At 38.4% G+C, this 22,950-nt stretch overlaps 1 protein-coding gene across 5 annotated transcripts in view; it reads right to left on the bottom strand.

The window, feature by feature from the left end:
* The window catches only part of ARHGEF28 (Rho guanine nucleotide exchange factor 28), a 315,795-nt gene that overhangs the window by 66,870 nt on the left and 225,975 nt on the right, over positions 1-22,950 (bottom strand). For all 5 annotated transcript variants that reach the window (NM_001080479.3, NM_001177693.2, NM_001388076.1 and 2 more), the window contains 9 exons: positions 22,429-22,471; positions 17,342-17,465; positions 16,902-17,034; positions 10,249-10,304; positions 9,108-9,156; positions 7,101-7,245; positions 6,894-7,021; positions 4,912-5,052; positions 1,875-2,122 (listed from right to left, as the gene is read on the bottom strand). In NM_001080479.3, coding sequence (NP_001073948.2) covers positions 1,875-2,122; positions 4,912-5,052; positions 6,894-7,021; positions 7,101-7,245; positions 9,108-9,156; positions 10,249-10,304; positions 16,902-17,034; positions 17,342-17,465; positions 22,429-22,471 — 1,067 coding nt within the window. The remainder of the gene's footprint in view (positions 1-1,874; positions 2,123-4,911; positions 5,053-6,893; positions 7,022-7,100; positions 7,246-9,107; positions 9,157-10,248; positions 10,305-16,901; positions 17,035-17,341; positions 17,466-22,428; positions 22,472-22,950) is intronic.

Below are 22,950 nucleotides of genomic sequence, written 5' to 3'. Positions count from 1 at the left end.
CACCAGTTAGAATGGCAATCATTAAAAAGTCAGGAAACAACAGGTGCTGGAGAGGATGTGGAGAAATGGGAACACTTTTACACTGTTGGTGGGACTGTAAACTAGTTCAACCATTGTGGAAGTCAGTGTGGCGATTCCTCAGGGATCTAGAACTACAAATACCATCTGACCCAGCCATCCCATCACTGGATATATACCCAAAGGACTATAAATCATGCTGCTATAAAGACACATGCACACGTATGTTTATTGTGGCATTATTCACAATACCAAAGACTTGGAACCAACCCAAATGTCCAACGATGATAGACTGGATTAAGAAAATGTGGCACATATACACCATGGAATACTATGCAGCCATAAAAAATGATGAGTTCATGTCCTTTGTAGGGACATGGATGAAATTGGAAATCATCATTCTCAGCAAACTATCGCAAGGACAAAAAACCAAACACCGCATGTTCTCACTCATAGATGGGAATTGAACAATAAGAACACATGGACACTGGAAGGGGATCATCACACTCTGGGGACTGTTGTGGGGTGGGGGGAGGGGGGAGGGGGGAGGGATAGCATTAGGAGATATACCTAATGCTAAATGACGAGTTAAAGGGTGCAGCACACCAGCTTGGCACATGTATACATATGTAACTAACCTGCACATTGTGCACATGTACCCTAAAACTTAAAGTATAATAATAACAAAAAAATAAAAATAAATAAAAAAACTTGAAACTAATAGCACAATTCTTAAAAGGAAAAATAAACTAGACTTCATCAAAATTAGAAAATGAGAAGACAAGTTACAGATTTAGAGAAAGTTTGTCAATCACATATATGACAAGAACCAATGTCTAGAATATGTAAACAAACCTTAATATTCATCAATAAGAAAACAAACAATCCAATTAGAAAATCAGCAAAAGACATAAACAGAAATTTCACTGAAAGGGATATATAGATGGCAAATAAGCACATGAAAAGATATTTAATATCATTAGCCATGAGGGAAGTGCAACTTGAACCATAATGAGATATTACTTTATACCTCTTAAAATAGCCAAAATTAAAAATAGTGTCAATATCAGATGCTGGTGAGGATGTAGAGAAACTGGATTACTTGTACAGTGTTGATGAGAATGTAAAATGGTACAACCACTCTGGAAAACAGTTAGCAGTTTCTTACAAAACTGAACATACAACTCCCATACAACCCAGAAATTGCATTCCTGGGCATTTATCCCAGAAAAATGAAAGCTTAGGTTTGCACCAAAATCTGCACCTGAGTGTTCATAGCAGCTTTATTTATAAGAGCTAAAAACTGGAAACAAGAAGATATCCTTCAACAAGTGAATGAGTAAACAGTGATATATCAATAGCATGGAATACCACTCAGCATAACTCCCCCATTTTCTGCATACAGACCAACAGCTGAACTCCATCGCTGTAAATGATAGGATGAAACAGCTTCAAAAAACAGTACATTTGGAGAAGATGGCATTCTAGCATCTACCCAGGGAAAGCCATGCTAAAGCAACTGCAGATGGAGCTCCCTGCCTTTCCAAGTGTTGCAGACCACTGTAAAACGTGACATTCAGGTGAATTCCTGATTTTTTTTTCCTTAAGTGGCCCATTCATTCAATAAATATTTATAATATCATGCACTGTTCCAGGTGCTGAAATATAGCAGTAATCAAATAGCCAAGAATCCCTGCCTTACTGGGAGTTACAATCTAACGATGGTAAACACATCCTCAGAATGTCACTATGAATGTTTCAAAATATCATTTTTTTTACTCTTGTTGATGAAAGGGCAGATTTTGATTCAAATCCCACTTACGTCATAAAGGTCAAGGACTTTAAGCTCTTCTTACCTGTTGTACCAAAATATCTCCAATTCGGTCGATCACAAAATTCCTGTCGCTGCCAGCACAGGATTCCTGCCTTCGTTCCTTCATACTGTAGAAGAAATGCCTGTGGATTTCAAGCAACTCATCTAAACAGGGGAAAATTTTATCCACGGTGCTGTGGTCCAGCTGCAGCTCCTCTTTCATGCCTTTCCTGAAGATCTCAGACATGATGAACAGGGTCTGGATGTGATGCATCTCTGTTTGCATTAGCTCTGAAATGTGTGAGCACACATAAGCCTTAAACAAGCTTTAAAAAGCAAGTTTCGCTATTAAACTAAATTAGTAACTCAACACTATATGTTACGCAAATAAAAAAGAAATGTTTAGGAATATCAAGAATATTCCAATATAAAAGTCAACATTAAACATTTCATTCACTCTAAAATATTAAACCATTTTCTTTTATCCAGATATTAAAGAGGACATATATGTCAAGTCCAATATACAAGAATCTAACGTATCTGAAACTCAATAATATAACTAGCTAGCATCTTTAGATACCTTCAGCTAGGAACTAGGTCTTATTCCACCCTGAATGCCCTATGAAATACAACTTAGTTTGTTGGCTTTCTTTCTTCCTTTCTTTATTTGATTTTTGCATTGAGCAGGAGCACAATTAATTTGGTGAAATGAATGGAACTAAAGAAAGTTCTTCAATGCAGATAACCATAGGTCCTTTCTATGGCAGAATCTGTCTCCAAAATTCCACTTTCTCCAGAGGAAAACAATGCATCACAATCAATCAAAGGACATCATCAAGAAAGTGAAAAGAAAACGCACAGAATGGGAGAAAATATTTGTAAATAATTTATCTGATAAGGAACTTGTATCTAGTATATTTTTAAAAATCTTATAACTCAACAATATAAATAAATAAATAACCAATTCAAAAATGGTCAAAGGATTTGAACAGATGTTTCTCCAAAAGGATATACAAATGGCCAATAAGAACATGAAAAGATGCTCAACTCCATTAGCTATTGGGGAAATGAAAATCAAAACCAAAATGACACATCACTTCACACATATTAGGCTAGTTATAATAAAAAAGCAACAAACAGGTATTGGTGAGGATGTGGAGAAACTGGAACCCTCATACATTGCTGGTGGGAATGCAAAATGGTATAGCTGCTTTGGAAAACAGTCTGGCAGTTTCTCAAGTGATTAAACGTAAAGCTACTACTCTATGACCCCAAAAGTGGAAAAACCCAAAATGTCCATCAATTGATGATTAGGAAAACAAAATAGGATATTCATCATCCATAAAAAGGAATGGTGTACCCATACATATTACAACTAGGATGAACCTTAAAAACAGTATGCTAGGTGACAAAAGCCAGCCGCAAAAGACCACATATTGTACTATTCACATAAAATGTCTAGAATAGACAAATCTGTAGAGACAGAAAGTAGACTAGTGTTTGCCAGAGGCTGGCGGAAGGGGTAAATGGGGAGTGACTAGTAACATGTACAGGATTTTTGAAGTGATGAAGATGTTCTGAAATTAGACAGGACCTGATGGCTACACAACTTCGTGAATATACTAAAAACTACTAGATTGTGTACTTGTAAAGGAGTGAATTTTGAGCAGGTGAATTATACCTCAATTTTTAAAACGCATCAGGAGAGAAAATAACAACTCACAATTTACAGGTGCACCAAACGTACTAGTTGTACATTAATGAGTATTTCCAAACTTACCGCAAGTTTTGGGAAAGAACCTTAAATATCAGCCATGGAGAGTCAGCAAGTCTAAATATAGCTTTAATATTTTGTCAAAAATAAAAATTTCTTTAATTGGAAATCTACCAACTTTGAATTATTATTTCCTATGTTTTTAGTGCCTACTCTATGCTAAGCACTTACCTGTATCATTTCATTTAATCTTTTAACCCATTAATACATTATGACCCAGAAAATAGGAATGATTTTCCTTATCTTTTAAAGAGAAACAGTGAGGAAGAGAAGGTAAAGAATTTGCCCTGGAATGCAAGCCTTTCTGACACAAAAGACCATGTAATAATTCAACCCAATGGGTTAGAATACTTTTAATAATATGAAATTGAGAATTGAGAGGTAGATGAAGAAAATTGACAGTAGAATATAAATTGCTTAAGAAATACTAAGAGGGACAGCATCTTCCTTTCCAAAGTAACTTGCACCTACACAGCTTTTGACAGAGTTCTAAGCACACTCATACACCATCTCATCTGATGTCCATAACCACCACCTGATGCAGATGACAAGGTATCCTCACTGCCCGTGGACTTTGGGGCCCATGTTTGCATACACAGGATTAGTGAAAAGACCCAGTGTTATCTTTAAAGTAGGGTATCTTTGGAACCACATTTTGGAATCTACTTTGTAGTTGAAATTTTTTGAAGTTTCATTTTTTCCAAGTCTATAATTTAACTTTCTCCAATCCAGAATGCCTTCATCCCAAATAGCATGACAAAATACAATCTCACCACAGCTGAATTCTGTACTCAGGATGGCAGCACGTAGTCAAACCCTGCCCTAACCCAGGTGCAGCTACTCACACTGCACCTGGTCTCTGTGAATGGCTGGTGTATGCAGCCAAACTGGAAGGCCATATGCAATAGCCCTACATTAAAATATGTGAAGGTTCACTGCAATTCTTACACAGAAGAGGTAAGAGTATAGGCCAAACCTAAGTAAACTTGAAAGGAATATGGGAAATAACATTTGCTCTGTGCCAGGTACATATTATGCCTCATTGCAGTCTCAAAACAATATTTAAAACCTGAGTATTATTAGGTTATTGCAAAACCGATTGTGGTTTTTGCTATTACTTTTAATATTATCCTCATTTTACAGATGGAGAAACTAAGGTCTAGGTGATCTAAATAATTTGTCTGCGATCAGGTAAATAGAAAATGATAGAACTGGGATTTTACCCAACTCTGCACAGTTGCAAATTCCATGTTCTTTTCTCTGAACCGCACTGCTTCAACCCAAAGAGCATATTTGAAACGCTTACCAAAAATGACATCCTGTCTTTTGATGACATCCTTCTCCTGCCTATTACAAAATGAGGGATCCACCACAAGACTCCAAGATTCTGCTTCAAACTCCTGGGCATCACTGCTGAGGTCACTCCACAGAGAAGAATCCACAACATCTAATGTGTGTTTAGAAAAGAAAAGCCAGAAGTACAATAATGCAGCACAAATATACCTTCGTATATTTGTCTATGGATTCCTCACCCTAAATAAATCTGCTATGAACATGGAAACTACTAAACCAAAACATATTAACATGGAGTGAAACATCTGTTTTTTTTTGAGACAGTTTCTCTCTGTCGCCCAGGCTGGAGTGCAATGGCGCGATCTCGTCTCACTGCAACCTCCGCCTCCCGGGTTCAAGCAATTCTCCTGCCTCAGCCTCCCAAGTAGCAAGAATTACAGGCATGTGCCACCACACCTAGCTTAGTTTTTATATTTTTGGTAGAGATGGGGTTTCACCATGTTGGCCAGGCTGGTCTTGAACTCCTGACCTCAAGTGATCCACCCGCCTCAGCCTCCCAAAGTGCTGGGATTACAGGCCTGAGCCACCGTGCCCAGCCAGACTGAAACATCTTAAAACTGGACTGATGAAATGGTCCAAATTAAGACAGCTTTCATGACAGCAAAGAATCAAATATTTAAAAAGAGTGTTCATATGGAGGAAAAAAGACATTTGAAGATTCTTTTGCTTGTTTTGGCCTGCTCTATTTTAGTTTTATTTTTGGTAACCTACAGAGTCCATAATGTGTCTACAGAATCTGGAACACACCAATTTCTTCTGCCCCGCGTTATTTTGTACTGTTTACTAAAATCTGAATTATGTACTCATCCATTTGATTTGCCCTTGACTTGCTAAGACACAAAGCAGCGTCTAAGTACTTGAGTCACAAATGAGTGCAGATTTTTCTGATGAAATTACAAACAAACCACACATACATACATGCCCTTCCCCACCCCCCTCCACCCCACACACACACTCCTCAGGAAAACTAAACCCTATTTACCCAAATGGCACTCATTAGAGAGGTTCCAGCTCAAAGCAGTACAAATGAGATGACAATGAATTTAAAGACTTAAGATTAAAATAAAACAGGTTCCTGGGGCAGAATCCACTCCTCTCTTTTGTCACTACTCTCCTTCCATTTGGTTTTCCTTCTTACTGGTGCTGCTTGTATACAAAAACTAATTCCCTAGATTAAGTCCTGCTCTATAAAATATGCTTTAAAAAATGCTTTAATGGCTGGGCACAGTGGCTCATGCCTGTAATCCCGGCACTTTGGGAGGCCGAGGCAGTTGGATCACCTGAGGTCAGGAGTTCAAGACCAGCCTGGCCAATGTGGTGAAACCCCATCTCTACGAACAATACAAAAATTAGCTGGGGGTGGTGATGCGCACCTGTACTCCTAGCTACTTGGGAGGCTGTGGCAGGAGAATCGCTTGAACCTGGGAGCTCGAGGTTGCAATGAGCCGAGATCATACCACTGCACTCCAGCCTGGGCAACAGAGTGAGACTCCATCACAAAACAAAATGTTTTTATTCCCCTAGGAGGCAACAGATGGGGTAAGTATCTCAGAGATCCAAAGAAGACCAGTCTTAACTAACTAAAGTATGTTTTTGATATAGGATCCTATTATAATTCATCAATAGCTATAAAACATTTTTAATAATAAGCACACAATATATTTCATTCATTTCTCTTCGTTATGCTTGTGACATTCTTTTAGTAATATGTCTATTTAAAATTTACGTCATATTTCCTTGGTCACTCTCTGGTTTTCTCCTCTGGGGCTAAATTTTCATTCGTTTAAAAAGTAGAACCTATACCAAAGAGACACCCTGAAACAGACTTCTTTGAAAAAGAAAAAAAAAATGCTTCAATCTTATTTCCTTCAGACAGTGTCATTTTGGCAAATGCTAACAAAAACACAAATAAATGGAAGTGTGTCTTCTCCTCACCTTCCATTATGAAAGACTCTGTAGAGGGAGAAGAGCCCATGGACTGTAGCAGCTCATCAGAATGAGACCTGCTTCTGCAGCTGTTATGGTCACTCTCAGACTCCAAGGATGTGGCTGACCTCCTGAAGCTAGGAGAGAGGGAGGGGAGCAAAGTTAGCCCCAGAAGCTCTCTGAGCCATTAATATGTAAAAACACACTCAGCCTTACCTTTCCAAGGTGGTGCCTGGAACACTTCTGGACAATGGATGGACCTGTCCCACAGTCTCCCTCCTTCCAGTCGGCAATCCAACAGGCACGGAGGAAGAAGGGTGCAAGGAGAGACCAGGCTGTGGGATGTCTCTAAATGAAGAATCTGGAAATCAGAACAGATGCTTCATGTGGTTTCCAGGTCAGTAATTACAAGTAAAAGTAGTCACTTAAAAGCCAGAAAGCTAAACCCTGCAATGACTACTTGTAATCTGATGCATGCTCTGCCTTAAAACCAGTCTCCCTGCTAGATCCTGACACTTGCTCCTAGTGTCCCTTTCATTTTACACCCTCCTGACACCCATGCTGCAGGCCTGCTTCCGCATCTCCACTTGGAGACTGTGGGTGTTTGGGATTGCACAAACAAACAAGACAATGGAATGGGGAAATACTGCGCCAGGTTTCCCATAAATCACTGCTTGTACTCCTTACAGCCAGCTTTAAATAGTTGCAAGGTGTTATTAGTACTGTTACTGAATGCATATTGTGTGTATAAACAAGCATCCACACACAGAGAACACGTCAATGGAATGGAATGATGCTGGAGAGCCTATTCTTCATGGTATAAGGATCTCAGGCAAATGAAGCCTGCAAGCCAAGCTGGGCTATTCTCTCTCACACATGGAAAACTAAATAGGGCTTCTGTGTTTTTCTGGTCAGTTCTAAAATATTCTGGGCACAGATGCATTTACATTTGATGTGTACTATAAATGACTCAGAAGACATTTCGGTCCCATATTATAGCTGTGTAGCATATACATTCTCAAGCAAAAGGAAGATCCCAGACATTACAAAGCATTTTACACGTGCATAAGTTAAATTTGTTCTTATGACTCCCATGTGAAGAGGAGTAATATGTGGTATTTCATCAATTCTAAGATACTATTTATTTTCACATTTAACCCTATGAAAATGAGAAGCCCCTTATAACTGACATCATCAAAGAGACTTTTGGGGTCAAGGCAAGAGAGTGATGTGACAGTTGTTACTACCTGCACCAACTTAACCTAATATAACATTACACCCAATAGCATGTTGCCACAAATTTGCATGCATAATTGTCCCGATTAAAGTGGTTTTAAAATATCAGTCACACTTTGTTACATGGAAATGAAAAGTTACCATGCACTTAAAATTCCTGCCACATGTCAAGCAACACAACTTTAGGCAGAAGGCGTCACAAAATCTCTCACAATAAAGCAAGAGATTTTCAAATTTAGGAGACATTGGCGTGATTGGTTCTTGTATGCAATGTAAAGAACTGTCAGAGGGCACCAATTATTTTAAAGAGAAACTGCTTAAATTTCAGCAATATACACTTCAGGAAAAACAGAGCCACCAAATTTTAAAATATGCAAACCAAACTCCAGTATGCCTTGAAATTTCACGGTCATTCTAAAGGAGCTAATGAGATCACAGCCTCAAGCACAGCTAATTAAACACCAGGTAATTATAATAATGGACAACAGAAACTGATAAGAATCTACAGACTCCAAATTTGAAGACTTTTTCCATCAAACATGGCGATTCTTAAGAAGAATGTGGTGTGTATCTGTATAGACAAATATATTACTGCAATATTGCTATACTACGCTACTGCTAGGAAAACAAAGTAAGGTACATTTCATGTAGTATTTCTCTTTTCCTTGAAGGATTATTAATACATCAGCAGAGCATATTCCACTAGACAGCATCTTAGAATTGAAGCAACACGTTAATACCTTCTCCTTATAGCCCTCTCTAATATAAAAGATCATATGGTACACACAACACAAAAGTTCTTAGGTTGACCTAGAAGTTGATAGCCTTCTTGACGACTTTATAGAACTAAAAATCATGCCAAGCATATGTTATGAAAGAAGAAATAACTGGATAAATGAGAAAACAAAAGGAGATATTTTTATAATGGAAAAATGTATAGTATGTATTAAATTTTTAAAAGTTCTTGTCGTTTTCTACATCACTTACTTCCAAGGATGGTCTGTGGTTTGTTCTTGTTATATTTCTCTTGGAATTTCTGGTAAAGAATATTAGAAACACATAAAGTAAGATCAAAGTATCATTAGACTATAAGAATATCCACATAGTTACACAGAACAGAATTCTTATCTATATCATTTTTGTTATTTTATTTCCAAGAGGAATTCAAAGCAAAAGACATTAAATGCAATGAAGAGTCAAATGTGACAATAAAATGTGCAAGTTATAATGAAGGGGCCTTGTGAACATGCGCCTCCTGAACACTCCTGGCTTCATTAAAAGCCTCAGGGGAACAGAAACCAGAGGTCTCCAGCTCATGTGTCCAGACCCAGGCTGAAAGTTCCTATCAATGCTGCCTTTCTCCTTCTTGTTTCTTTCTACCTCCTGCTATCCCTCCTGACTATAGGAGACAACCACCTGTAGCACTGAAATGTCACCTTCAAAACAGCCCTCAACTCTGTGATCTGACGCAATATGTGTTCCTATTGACACAGAGGTTTGCAACTGCAAATTTCCCCCTGAAGGATCATCATGTTCACTCACATGCATCTGTGACATGACTACTGAGTGGAAAAGAAAGGAATAGAATCACAGACACCTTCATCTACTCCAGCCCATTCCCAACTACAGAGAACATTCTTCTAGTCCAGTGGTTCTCAAACTGAGGTCTCAGGACCAGCAGCAATATCATCACCTGCAAACTTGTTAGAAATGCACATTCTCAGGCCCTACCTCAGATCTATGGAATCAGAAATTCTGGAATTGGGGCCCAGAAATCTGTGTAGTCACAGGTCTTCCAGTGACTGTGAGGCTTGCAGACATTTGTGACTTACTACTCTGATCTTCATTTGCAGGTACCCAGGGCTTGCACTGGTAAACCAAGCAGGTCTCAACAGAAAGCCTAACCTAGCCACAGCATATAACACAAATATCTGGACTTGAGCTTTCCTTCTATTTCTAACAGTGTACAGTTAAGCAAATAACTATACACTTTGAGCATATGTTATGTTATCGCTATCATGATCGCTTTAGAAATAAATCTAGATGGTAATAAAAAAGAGTAAAAGCTCAAATAGATACTATGAAGCAACCATGCCACATATATATTCACAGATCACTGAGCAATTACCTTGGTGCATGCAGGCGCAGCATCTTTACAACCTTTGTGCACATTTGCATTACAGTCTGAAATAAAGGGAAAAGATACAAAAGCATCCATCTTACTTAATTAGTCTGAAATTAATAAGACTACATCATGCTTTCACTGGTCATTATAAAAAAACACATAAACATTACAAATATCTGGAAAACTAAAGAAGGAAAGACAAATATTTAAATCACATGTATCCTCACCACTCAAGCACAAGCAGAATGCTATTATTTTAATCTCTTTGGAGATATTTCTCCCCTTATACACAGGATCTTATCAATTACTAAATCTGAAGTTATGAATGATATACACTTCTGCAATGCTTCTGTGTCTCCCTGAGAACTCACTTCCTATTACATGCATTACATTGCATGGGATTTCTGACACCTGGCTGGTAGTAACTCCCCACTCCCACACTGGGTAAAATGCCTACCACAACCAGAAGAAAGAAAACAAACTCTTAACAATGCTGAAAAAAATGTATTGTGAGGTCTTGGCAAGAATTCCTACTAACCACAAGTTTCAGGTAGTCTAATTAAATGAGAAATGTTAGCCCTGTGCCCATTGTTTTATATCATAAACAATGGGCACATGTCATAAAACAATGTCATCTCACTGGAAGAATGTAAGGGAATACTTTCCCTGCCCCTTTCTGCCCATGAACACAGACACTGAGGCTGTCCTCATGGAAAGCTGCACTATGTGGGCACTGGTTGCTGCCAAGCTGTTGTCTTTGGGTCCTTTCCCCTCCCACCTGTACATCACCATCCCACACACACTGTAGCATAGACCGAGGAGCCTGGGTGCATCAGAAATGTATGCAGAATGAATCCTTCTGTGGGAGTGGAAGATCCCATGTTGGTCCATCAAAGCCACACTGCATAAATGCCAGTGACCCAACAAGAACTGGGCAGGAAGCTGCGCCCTACAACTGTCCTCAGGCTGCAGGTCTGAAGAGGCATTTCAGTCAACACGCCAGTGGCCAGCAAGCAGGGCCCAAGGCTAATCTATGCATTGGCCCGGCTGATAAGCATCAGATTCAGACAGCCCTCTCCTCATTGCAGAGTGAGTAAATAATAGGGAAAATGTAGATACCCTAAGATACCACAGAACAAAGTTACACCAACAACCCACCAGAAGAAGCAACCACTGAATACTAGATCCAGAAATAGGAAAGAAACTTTAGATACTTGAAAATTGTTCTTGATAAGAGACAGAAGACGGGGGCCTCAGTAAAATAGAATGAAAGTGCATGGAGGGAGAATAGGATGTGAGACTTGGCCTGCAGGAGGAGAGGAAAATGGAGCTTCATGAGACAGGCAAGGACCGCAAGGAAGGAAAAGAGACAATGAGAAGAATCTGTGTGGCACAGACATCAAAGCCGAGCTATGAAATTACACTTGAAAGACTCCCTCCAGAATATGGAGAAGAGGAAGCGTATAATTATAAAATAGATGTCATACAACGAACATAGATAGCAGAAATCATACTTACCCAAGGAAGAGATCAGAAAAATTAGATCAGAAGCAGTGACAGTCAAAGCCACCATAGACAAGAATTCTATAAAGCTGAAAAAGCGCCCAAAAGGACACATCAAAAGTTCTCACTGTTTCCTAAGAAAAATAATTAAATGACACCTACTCTATAGACATATTCTCATAATATCCATATGATTAAAAAATGAAAAGTCCTCAAGCATAAGGCAGAAGACAAGGGTTATCAACAAAGGAATAGGGTCAGGTTGGCCCTAGACTTTTCCACTTTAATAATAAATGCTCACATCTGTTGCAGCAATGTTGGCAAAGCAATGAAGGGAAAAGACTTTGGTCCAAGAATTTATTTAACTAAGTTGTTTTTCTTGTGTGAAAAAAAAAAATAGGTCCCTTGGTACATGAAGTTTCAGATCAACAGATCACTCCTATTTTAGCCTTTTGAGGACAGAATCAAAATTAGGAGTTCAAGAAGGATTCACTGTAGTTTTTTTTTTTTTTAAAGAAACAAAAGTGAGCAGTAAAACAAGCTAAACAAAGAACCACATCTAAAAAACTGTAGGTAGAGATAGAGCTGAATAAAAGTGTCAACTTTTTTTTGAAATAGAAAATTATACTTGAAAGATTAAACATAATAATCTTAGGAAAAGAATAATAATTAATTCAGTGTATTAACAGAGGCTGGGCCGGGGGAGAGTAAACATAAGGGAAATAAAAAGATATTAAATTATTAGCCTTCCACAGCCTTAAAGCTACTATTAGTTGACATTAAAAGAGAGTATCTTGCCAAATCCCTGGAGAAGACAAAAGCAAACAACACATGGTCTAAATAGCTAAACTAGACATCAAGGAAAAGAGCAAGGACCTATAAAAGATATGTTGGTAGCAGTAAAATTAAATGTAAAATGTTAAAAACCCTGTTATAAAACAACATCCTTCAGCTACATTACAGATTACTTCTAGCTAAATTAAAGACATGCACCTCAAATCGAAAACACAAAAATAGTTGAAAGAAATACAAACAAATGGAAAGCAGGAGGAGTATTAAGTTTAGACAAAGTAAAACTAAATGCAAAAGGCATCTAATGAAGTTAAAAGGATAATTTTATGTTGATTAAGGTTAAATCTGCAATGAAGGTATGATATATAAATTTATGTGTAACAGATAATGTAACATCAACATAATAGCCAAGAAACTTATTTATAAGCAAGGGTAATTTTATAGAAATATAATTTTGTGGAAAATTAGCAACTCAGGCTTTAACAAGAAGAAAATTACCCAAGAATTTTGAATACTTACACAATACTATGTGTTGTTTTATATCATATCTTGTTTTTAAGATTAGGAATATTAACCTTCACAATTAAAAACAAAAATGCACCCATGGAAAAAGATTATTTAACCAAAACAGCAGAGACTGTATGTATCATATTGGTATTGCTCCATGTAAAAACCTTAATATGAATAAGCAAAGTTTAAACCACCCTCTCCCCCCGCCAAAAAGTAACTGTAAATTTTGAAATTACTTCTAAAAAAAGTTGTGGGTAAAAGAGGAAATCAAATACACACTTTGACCTACTCATACTGATTCTAGAATTTAATCTTAGGCAATCACCAAATATGTGGACAATGATATGTGCAAAGGAATGCTCATTGCCAAATTATTTGTTTAAAAAATTAGGAAAAAATTAAATGTTCAAAAACAAATAGTTAAATACATTTGATGTCAGCATCAAATGAAACAGCATTAAAATCTCACATATAGCTGGGTGTTGTGGCATGTGCCTATAGTCCCAGCGACTCAGGAGGCTGAGGCAGGAGAATCGCTTGAGCCTGGGAGGCGGTGGTTGCAGTAAGCTGAGATTGCACCACTGGACTCCAGCCTGGGCAACAGAGCAAGGCTCCCATAGTTTTTTATGGTTATAAGGAACTCCATTAAAATATTAATAGTCTTTTTCTCTAAGTGGTAATATTATAAAAAGTTTCTGCTTAAACCTTATAACTTCTATAAATACTATTCCTTTTTTAAGAAATGACTGTTTTTAAAGCTAAATGTATCCTAGATATTTTCAGCAATTTCCATCACATCCACTCAACTCAATGAACCAACATATTCTTTACTACAAAAGTTTCCCTTTCAGTGAGCCCTGGCTCCCTAGGCTTTACTGGTCGCCAGCTCTGCATGAGTGACTCGGGACCTACACGGGAGTCATCGTGTGATTAGGGCCCTAAAATAACTTTGTTTCTTTTAATAGTTAAAACTCAAGGAGACTGTAAATAATCCAATTTTAAATGGATATGAAAGTGATAGGCAGGAGTTTGGACCACAGTGGTCAGGGAAGACCTCCAAAGAGCAGGTAAAAAACCAGGATCTATGCAGAGGAGTGGGGGAAACTGAGAGGAAGGAGATGATCACAGGCAAAATAGCAGAGGCAGGAAATCACACGCAGTGGGAGGAAAGGGCAACGGAACTGGTGGGGCCTCAGACTGTAAACTGAGGCTGAAGGGGGGCCTAGGGGTCTAATGAGCAGTTCCAGATGAGGGAACCAAATGCCCATGGGAAGAGCTTGGACTTAGCCCAGTAAACACAAGAGAGGTCCTTAAGTTTATGTGGGCTGATGAAAGTGGTGTTTTACAAAGATTACTGTGGGAAAAGTACTGATCATAACTTGTAGATGAACATACCTGGAAAGGAAGAAACTAGCACAATTCCCTCCCAGTATTCTAGAAGGCGGTGATGAGAATCTCCCAGAGTGGCAACAGTGAGAAGGGAAAGAAAAGAGTGACTGAGTGACATTGACAGGAGGGACAAGAGGGCAGTGGAATTAAAGCAGCCAGGGTTGAAGCTTGTGATGCCAGGCCAAGTATGTCCTGCTGGGCGTGGACTTTGAGGTCGGTTTTAGACACACTGGGTTTCGAAGACGATGAAATCTCTGAGTGATGATTCCCACATATGGTCTCCCTACGAGCCCCTGTGCCTGCCACAGTCTTAGTTTATACCTGTAGTTTTTACCATAATTCTCCAAAGTGGCCATAAATTACATGGGTACTCAGCCTCTGGGCAACTGAATATGGAAATACAAAGCGAGGAAAGAAGATATTAATACAGGAGTAACGGGTCTAAATATGATATTTTGGACATAAGATTGGATGACTATACTTAGAAACAATCAAGGAAAAATGAACAAGTGCCCAAGAACTAATTTCTGCGCGTACCCAGTATTAGGGAAAAGGAGACAACCCAGATGGTAAAACAGAAGAGTAGTGTGCCACGGAAAAGAAGGAAACATCCCTGAAAGGAGAGATGTCGACCTGGAAACAGGAAACCAGTGAGTCTGAACAATGAGGAAAGACTCAGACTTGACTAGAAAGTGACTCTCAGTTTCCATCAAAAGCAGAACTTCTGTTAAGCAGTATGCACAGAGGTCAAAATGCAGATGGTTAATGAAGAAATGGCAGAGACAGGCTTAAAAGCAGTGGGTGAAGATTACCCAACTTGAGTCTGTCTTAAAACAGGGGAGGGAAAGGTCTTGGGTGTGGCCAGGGATGCATCGAAGGGCTCAAGTCCACAAGTCCACCCACAAGGGTGGAACAACAACCTAGGAAACACATGCCCATCACACGAATGAACTGACCGCTGAAGTGTGGGCAGGCCAGAAACAACCCATAAACGATACTTGGAGCAAATCTCTAAAAATGTAGGAAGTTAAACCACATCTGAGCAGCCTGATGCTACTTCAGATCCAGGAAAAGAAAGAAATCAAGTTTTCAAGGAAAGCAAAATTCAAACATGCAATAAAGTCAGCATAATTAAACACAATGTCAACTGTGAGAAGAAAATTCAATCTGCCTGTAATGTCATATGTGGATTGTATTTTGATCAGATGTCCAGCTGTAGATACATCTAAATTTTTTAATTCAATCATTTTCAACAAAGTTTATGAGGAGCTTCAGAGGTAAACTTCCCCTGCTCCTCTGTTCCCTTTGTGCTCCCATCCCACCTTCCAAATATTCCCACAATTCTGGCGATCAACAAATACCATGAAATCTATTCCACCTGCCTGCGCCTCACTACTTTTTCTCTGAATTATTCTTTCATTCAACAAATACTTACTAAGCCCCTGCAATGTACAAGGTATTGTTCTAGCCACTCTGCATATAGCAGAGAACAAATTCAACAGACAAAAATCTAGCCCCCATATGCAAACTGTATAGTAAGTTAGATGGTGGTAAATATTATAATGGGAAAAAATGCCAGGAGGAGGGCAAGGATGAGCCAGGCACTGGGAGATCAGGAAAGGCTGCCTGAGAAGCTGTTGTCTGAGTGATCCGTGTGGGTATCTGAGGAAAGAGTGTTGCAATCAGAAGGAACAGCCAGAGAAGGCCCTAAGGCAGGAGCATGACTGCCATGTTCGAAAAACAGCAAAGATGCCAGTGTGACTGGAGCAGAGGGAGTAAGGGAGGGGGAGGACAGATCACATGGGAACTTGCTGTCATTGTAAGCACTTAAGGACTTCAGTCTATACTTGAGGTATAGGAAGCCATTGGGAGATTTTTTTGAACGCAGTGATATATGCCTTTACCAGCTCACTCTGGCTAATGCTTTGAGAACAGACTTTAGGGGTAAAAGCACAAGGAAGTCAGTTGGAATGCTGTAGAAATGGTGGCTTTAGACCAGAATGATATCAGTGGTAGGGGTGACAAGTGCCTGGTTTTATATGTTTTCTGAAAATAGAGCCAAGAGGATTGTTGATGGATTGGATGTGGGATGTGAGAAAATGGGAGGTATAAAGATGTACTCCAAAAGTTTTGGCATGAACATCTGGTTGGAATGATCAAGTTGCCATTAAAGGCCGAGAGCATCAGCTTTTAGGTGAGCACAGAATGGGGAGATGTAACATCTGAGACGCTCTTTAGACATCCCAGTGGAGACAGGCATACAAATCTGGGGTTCAGACAGGCTATCAGTTATGGACAAAACACACTGACTCTAACCAGTATCAGTCCTTGCTTGGTAAACGGTTCAGTCATATGTGTGGCACTGAAAAGGTTTATGTAAATGTATTGAGCAATGAGCCTCTTCCCAAGGTTACTGTCAGGAGATGAAAACAAAGACAGCGCACATAGACCTGAGAACTTACTAGAACACTGCAGTGACTCTTTCCCCAGGAGTGTTTTATCACAAACCAAACACTGCAGAACCCCAGAGAATGTTCCTGGGGCAAACTGATGTCGATTCAGCTTCTCTTTATCTTTGGCATCCTTGCTTTTTGTCTTCAGATGCAGCAGCAGCAGTAGGAAAGTGGGGAAAAATGAGAAAAGGAAAACGCTGTGAGCCAACTTTCTTATAGAAATCATCTGAGCAAAGTCTCTACATTTTCCATCAGAATATAAGGACTGCACACAGAGGGACACCATAACACCTAAATGTTATATTCTGGGCTTTAGCAATATTCCATAAGAAATATGTGTAAATAAAATCTAAGGTAAGTGATTTCAAAGGGAAAGTGGAAATTATACTAACTGCTGAGAAACTAAAATGTCTATATTTTATAGAAAATAAGTGAATCACTTTAATTACCTTTGATTTATTCCGAGGGCTAGTCATCCTATTCATGAGGAAACTGAAAGTTCGACTCACTTTATATTTTTCAGACTCTGATTTGGCAGGTATGATGTATTTATCCCATTCTTCTTCCTGAATTCTACAAAAACAGAATCTGTTATCATGGCTCATATGACTTAGGAAGAATAGCATATACGTGTGTGTGTATGTGTGTGTGTGTGTGTGTGTGTACACATATATGTATGTGTATGTATTTTTTCAGGTTTTAGTGGCTGTTCTAAAGAGAAAAACAATTCATTAAAAATACACCCTATAGCATAAGTGAACAGACATGTGATTAGAGCAACAATCTCACAATGTCAACAATTATAGAACATAGGTGGTGGAAGTGGGTATACACTAGATAATTCTCTCAACTTTTCTGTGTACTTGAAAATTTTCATAATAAAATATTGAGGAAATAAACCTTAGACTTATAATTTTACCCTGAAAACACTCAACTTCCTGTTTACTATGCTAGTAAGAATTCCCCAGAGCACAGAGAAGCCAAATAACCAACAATATGCAACTGGATTTTATTTATTTTTGGAACGCAGAGATAATACTCAGTAGACACGTGTTTCCTCTGTTGATACGGCCTGAGAAACAGACTGACTGCCACTCGGTGCAGCCTCTCCCACTCAGTACAATCTGAGACTCTCTAGGTTGTGGAGGAGAGAGGCTATGGATACTCCATAAAATAAGAAGCAAGGTAGAGGTAACTGTACCCAACCCATGAATACCCTGAACACCGTTTATTTTCTTCTAATCCACAATACAATTATTCTCTAGAAAAAAACATATGCAGACTATGAAAGTTACAATTCCCCCTAGAGCTTCCTCTGATAATCTTATATTTCTATTATTACTGAGGAAAGAATAAATTAAAAATCAACCTAAATATCATGTCAAACCAGGTAACACTTCTGTAGATGATTGCCATAGTGATTATTTCCTAACTAAAGTCTCTCCTACCCCCTAAAATTCTCACCTTTCCATACTGATAACTAACACATTTATCTCTGGGAAGTATTTAAAAGCAATAAAATCACTGATTTACACCAAAATATATATCATTATATTTTGTGAAAATATTGCTTTCAATGACAACTTTCTAGGACTTTGATTGTTCTTATGTAATTAATATCAGGCTTAGACTAAATTATTTCCAAGACCCCTTCCACACTTTAATATGGTACATATTATAATAAAACTTTAAGTTATTTAAGCTCTATATTAGGTTTTAGAGCTCAAACCTATTAATGCATTTAGAAAAAAAAAATACATGGCTTAAGAGCTGCCTCTTGACCATGTAGATCTAAAGGTATAGTCAGAACAGTGTTATGTCCTGTTACTTAAAGCCTGCACAGTAAATGAAATTGGGTTTGCTGCTTAGAGAAAACATTTTAAAAGGCAGAAGGAAAAGGAAGTGAATAGAATTAAACATACCCTATGCCAACAGAGTAGTGAAAGAATCTCAGACCCTTTTAATTTCCTTTCTACTTCCATGCTACCTCTAGTCATTTTTACCTAGGATAACTGACTGGTTAATAGAATCCGAAATTTCCCATAAACCTCTGGTGTCTTACACATCCTAATTTGCAAAATTTGTGCCATAATATTCAAAAGGCTCACTTTCAAAATTGGGGGAAAAAATACATTTGAGAGTTTGAAAAGACTCCTCTCTTAGAAGGCCTTTTTTGACCCCACCAAATGCTATCCAACGTCTAAGAGAAGAGAAGAGTGATGAGGAGACCTAATATCGGAATTAAAGAATGGTTAGGTCACTGTGGATTTTGAGGTCAAGAAGCCCCTTTTGTACTTCCCAGCAGGAACACAACTAAACTATTGCAAATAAAAGAAAATTAATTATTGGTTACCCAACTCTACTCCCAACTCCCTTGTTACAGAAGACTATATAAAAAACGACAGTTTCCACATTGATTAAAAACTTACAAATGCACAATTTATCATATATCCTTCATACTTCTACAACACGACACTTTAACTTTTTTTTTTTTTTGAGATGGAGTTTTGCTCTCGTTGCCTAGGCTGGAGTGCAATGGCGTGATCTTGGCTCACTGCAACCTCAGGCTCCCAGGTTCAAGTGATTCACCTGCCTCAGCCTCCTGAGTAGCTGGAATTACAGGCGCCCACCACCAGGCCCAGCTGATTTTCATATTTTTAGTAGAGATGGGGTTTTGCCATGTTGGCCAGGCTGGTCTGGAACTCCTGACCTCTGGTGATTCACCCACCTCGGCCTCCCAAAGTGCTGGGATTAAAAACGTGAGCCACCACGCCCAGCCGATACTTCAACTTTTTAAGCTGAGGTTGATAAGACCTGAGATATAACAGTGTAAACATAAAAATGCTTTTTTAAAAATATTATTAATTATGAAATATGAAAACTTAAACCATCACCCAACCTGGTAGAAATGTGAATATCATAGTCATAATCCACTATCAGATTATGAAGATGGGTAATACTGTATAACCTCTGGGCAAATGTAGAAGGTTGGTTGCTTCATTTCATATCTAATTTAATTATGTGATATTTACCTATATCAAAATCAGGCACTTTAGAAAATAATTGAGAAGAGAAAACCTTCAAATAATTTCATAATAGAATTTAAATAGCTTTTACATTTGTAAGAATCTGGAAAGATTAAGTTATTTTTAACATCCCAGAACAAGAACGTCTAATCTCTATTATTAGTTTGATGACCGATAGCATCACTCACAATAAAGTTTTACAAACCCTTCTCAGAGCCTTTAATGGTACTGCCTTTTCAATAGGTAAATAGACATTTAAAACATATTAAGAATATGGATTCTTAATATTTTAACCCTTAATCTATTTAAAGAATTGGCATCTAAAGTGTTTTTTTGTTGTTGTTGTTGTTTTTGGGTTTTTGTTTTTTTTTGAGATGGAGTCTGGCTCTGTCGCCCAGACTAGGATGCTGTGGCACGATCTCGGCTCATTGCAACCTCCGCGTTCCAGGTTCAAGCCATTCTTCTGCCTCAGCCTCCTGAGTAGCTGTGATTGCAGGCGCCTGCCACCACACCTGGCTAATTTTTGTATATTTTAGTAGAAACAGGGTTTCCTCATGTTGACTAGGCTGGTCTCAAACTCCTGACCTCAGATGATCCGCCCGCCTCTGCCTCCCAAAATGCTGGGATTACAGGCATGAGCCACCGCACCGGGCCTAAAGGGCTGAAAGAAGTTCCTGCTATGCAGATTGAAAATTGACACAGTGGAACTTCTGTTAACACTCAGATCCTCAGATTTGAAGAAAGAGGAGGAGAAGGAGGAAATACATACAATAGATTTAAGACAGATGGTGGCAGTAAAATAATCAAGTCATGCCATATAATCTTTAAGAAATTAGAACAGAGTGTCTGCTGAAATGAGCCTGCAAGGTATAGAGTGAGCTCATTTTTTACATGGATGTCCCCTTTTCTAGAAACTAAGTGATTAATACAAATAAGAGAATATCAAAGAAGGCATCATCTCAGGTAAATACCTGTAACATGACCAAAGCAAAGCATTAGGTATGGCTTGGGATCTTATTGGCATATCCAACAAGATAAGATAGCAGGAATAGAGTGGGTGAGATGAAAGATCCACTCTACTAGATACACCAAGGCATATGACTGAGAGAGTAAGATGCTTTCAGGATGTGGACCAAGAAAGATTAAAGAATAGAAAGGAACAGAAAACAAAAACAAGAGTGACAGAGAACGAAGAACCAGATAAAAAGAAACTTCATAAAGATGCCATCAAAGTGAAAATATTTTATAGGCTACTATTTAGCCAAGTATAACATTGGCTCCTTCGGTCTTAAATCTCTCTCCTAATGACAAATGAATATTTTTTATATTTTTAATTTAAAAAATTCTTGATAACAATCCATTATTTTTCCAGTTGTTAAAAAGATGACTGTTAATCAAAATGATGACCAAGATGAAGATCAAATTCCAGAATGAGGAAGTAAATTGCTTAAATGAGATAATAAATGTAAACTGCTTAAAACAGTACAAGGCACATACAAATGTTCAATATTTGTCAGTAATTACTGCTTTTGCTATCATCATCCTCATTGCCATTGTCACGAAGTCAACTTGATCATCATCCTATCTTTCAAGGGCATTCTTAATCTTCCTCTTTTGTATCATTTGAAAGTTTCTATTCTGGTTTCAAAAAAAAAATAGAAATGATCCAAAGGAGGCTTTTTCTTATTAATACTTTGATTCCAGGATTTAAAACGAAACACCCCATCTTGATCCGTATACTAAAACGTTTAAAACGTTTCAAAGTTTTAGTATTAATCTCAAACAAAATTAAACCATTTCACTCTTTTCAGATGGTCTCTTAAAGTCAAACATGTGTGCCATTCTGGCACTTGTTTTGCATACAACCCTGGGGCTATTTCACAGTGTGACTCATGGGCAGTTAGTTATTCAACACCAACAGAAACCAACAATCATGCTTGCACACTGGTCTGCTTCCCAAGCTATACTCCAACAACAGTTTTACCTTCTAGGAGAAAGAGAAGCTTAGGTTAAATCTGCATCTCAACCAGGAAACTGATCATGCTTAAAAGTCTTCTGCATTGTTTATTCTTTGTTTCCAGCTGAAGGGCTACTAGGCAAAAATCCATAGAGAGACAGTAGGGATGTTTAGGCACTTTCTATCATTGACCACCCAGGGTTCTGTTACTAAAGTAAGTCCCCTTGTCATGGTGGAATAGAGCTGGAGAAAACATGTTGTCTTTCTAAAACAGGTGGTCCCCTCACACTGCTCCCCTTGAGGGTATTTGGCTTTGAAGATACCCAGACAGAACATGCTGTCCCCAATCCTGAGGCCTGCACAGCCAAGGACTGAAAGGGGAGGGCTGGCAGATCTATCCTGATACAGATCCCAGAGGGAGCAAAGGGTCTTAGGCAGGCTTGTTACATGGAAACCTCTCATGAACTAGTGAACAGATAGCAAAAATGATGTGTGGACATTTCCAAAGAAGGATCATGCAGTTCCTCAGGAAAATTGGAATAGTTAAAAGTACCTGTTTTCTCTTGGTGGCTCCGATAAGCTGTAAGCTCTTTGCTCTACAAGACACAGAACAATAAAATGAAAACTAAGGCACACAAACTGGCAGTCATATGTTAGTCTGAAATGCATACTCAACCATATTGTATCATTATACACACTACCAGCTAGAAAATAATGAGAAAATGAGTTACCTTATATAAGTAAGGCATTGCTCTGGATTTTTTTAAATCACTTTCTGTAATTTAAAGAGGGTAGGGAGAAACATGGCCAAAATATGCCAACATTTAATGACTTCATGAACTAAGTTAGCATCAGCAAGGGACAGCAAACATTTTCAGAAGTGCAGAAAATTAGCTCTATCTTTTTGGATACTTTTCACTAGAGTCATCCCTATTCTTCATAACACTAATGCCCTAACATACAGAACCAATAAATAACTGCTTTTAAACAAAGCTCAAATGAAGTCTTGAAGGACAGCATAAGAAGAGTTAATTTTCATATAGCTGCAATGTCCTCATAAAATCCTAGCAGCAGC

This window comes from Homo sapiens, chromosome 5 (assembly GCF_000001405.40).
Source record: "Homo sapiens chromosome 5, GRCh38.p14 Primary Assembly".
NCBI lineage: Eukaryota > Metazoa > Chordata > Mammalia > Primates > Hominidae > Homo > Homo sapiens.
Note: the sequence above shows the minus strand (reverse complement) of the source record. Positions and strands in the feature narration are given on the sequence as shown.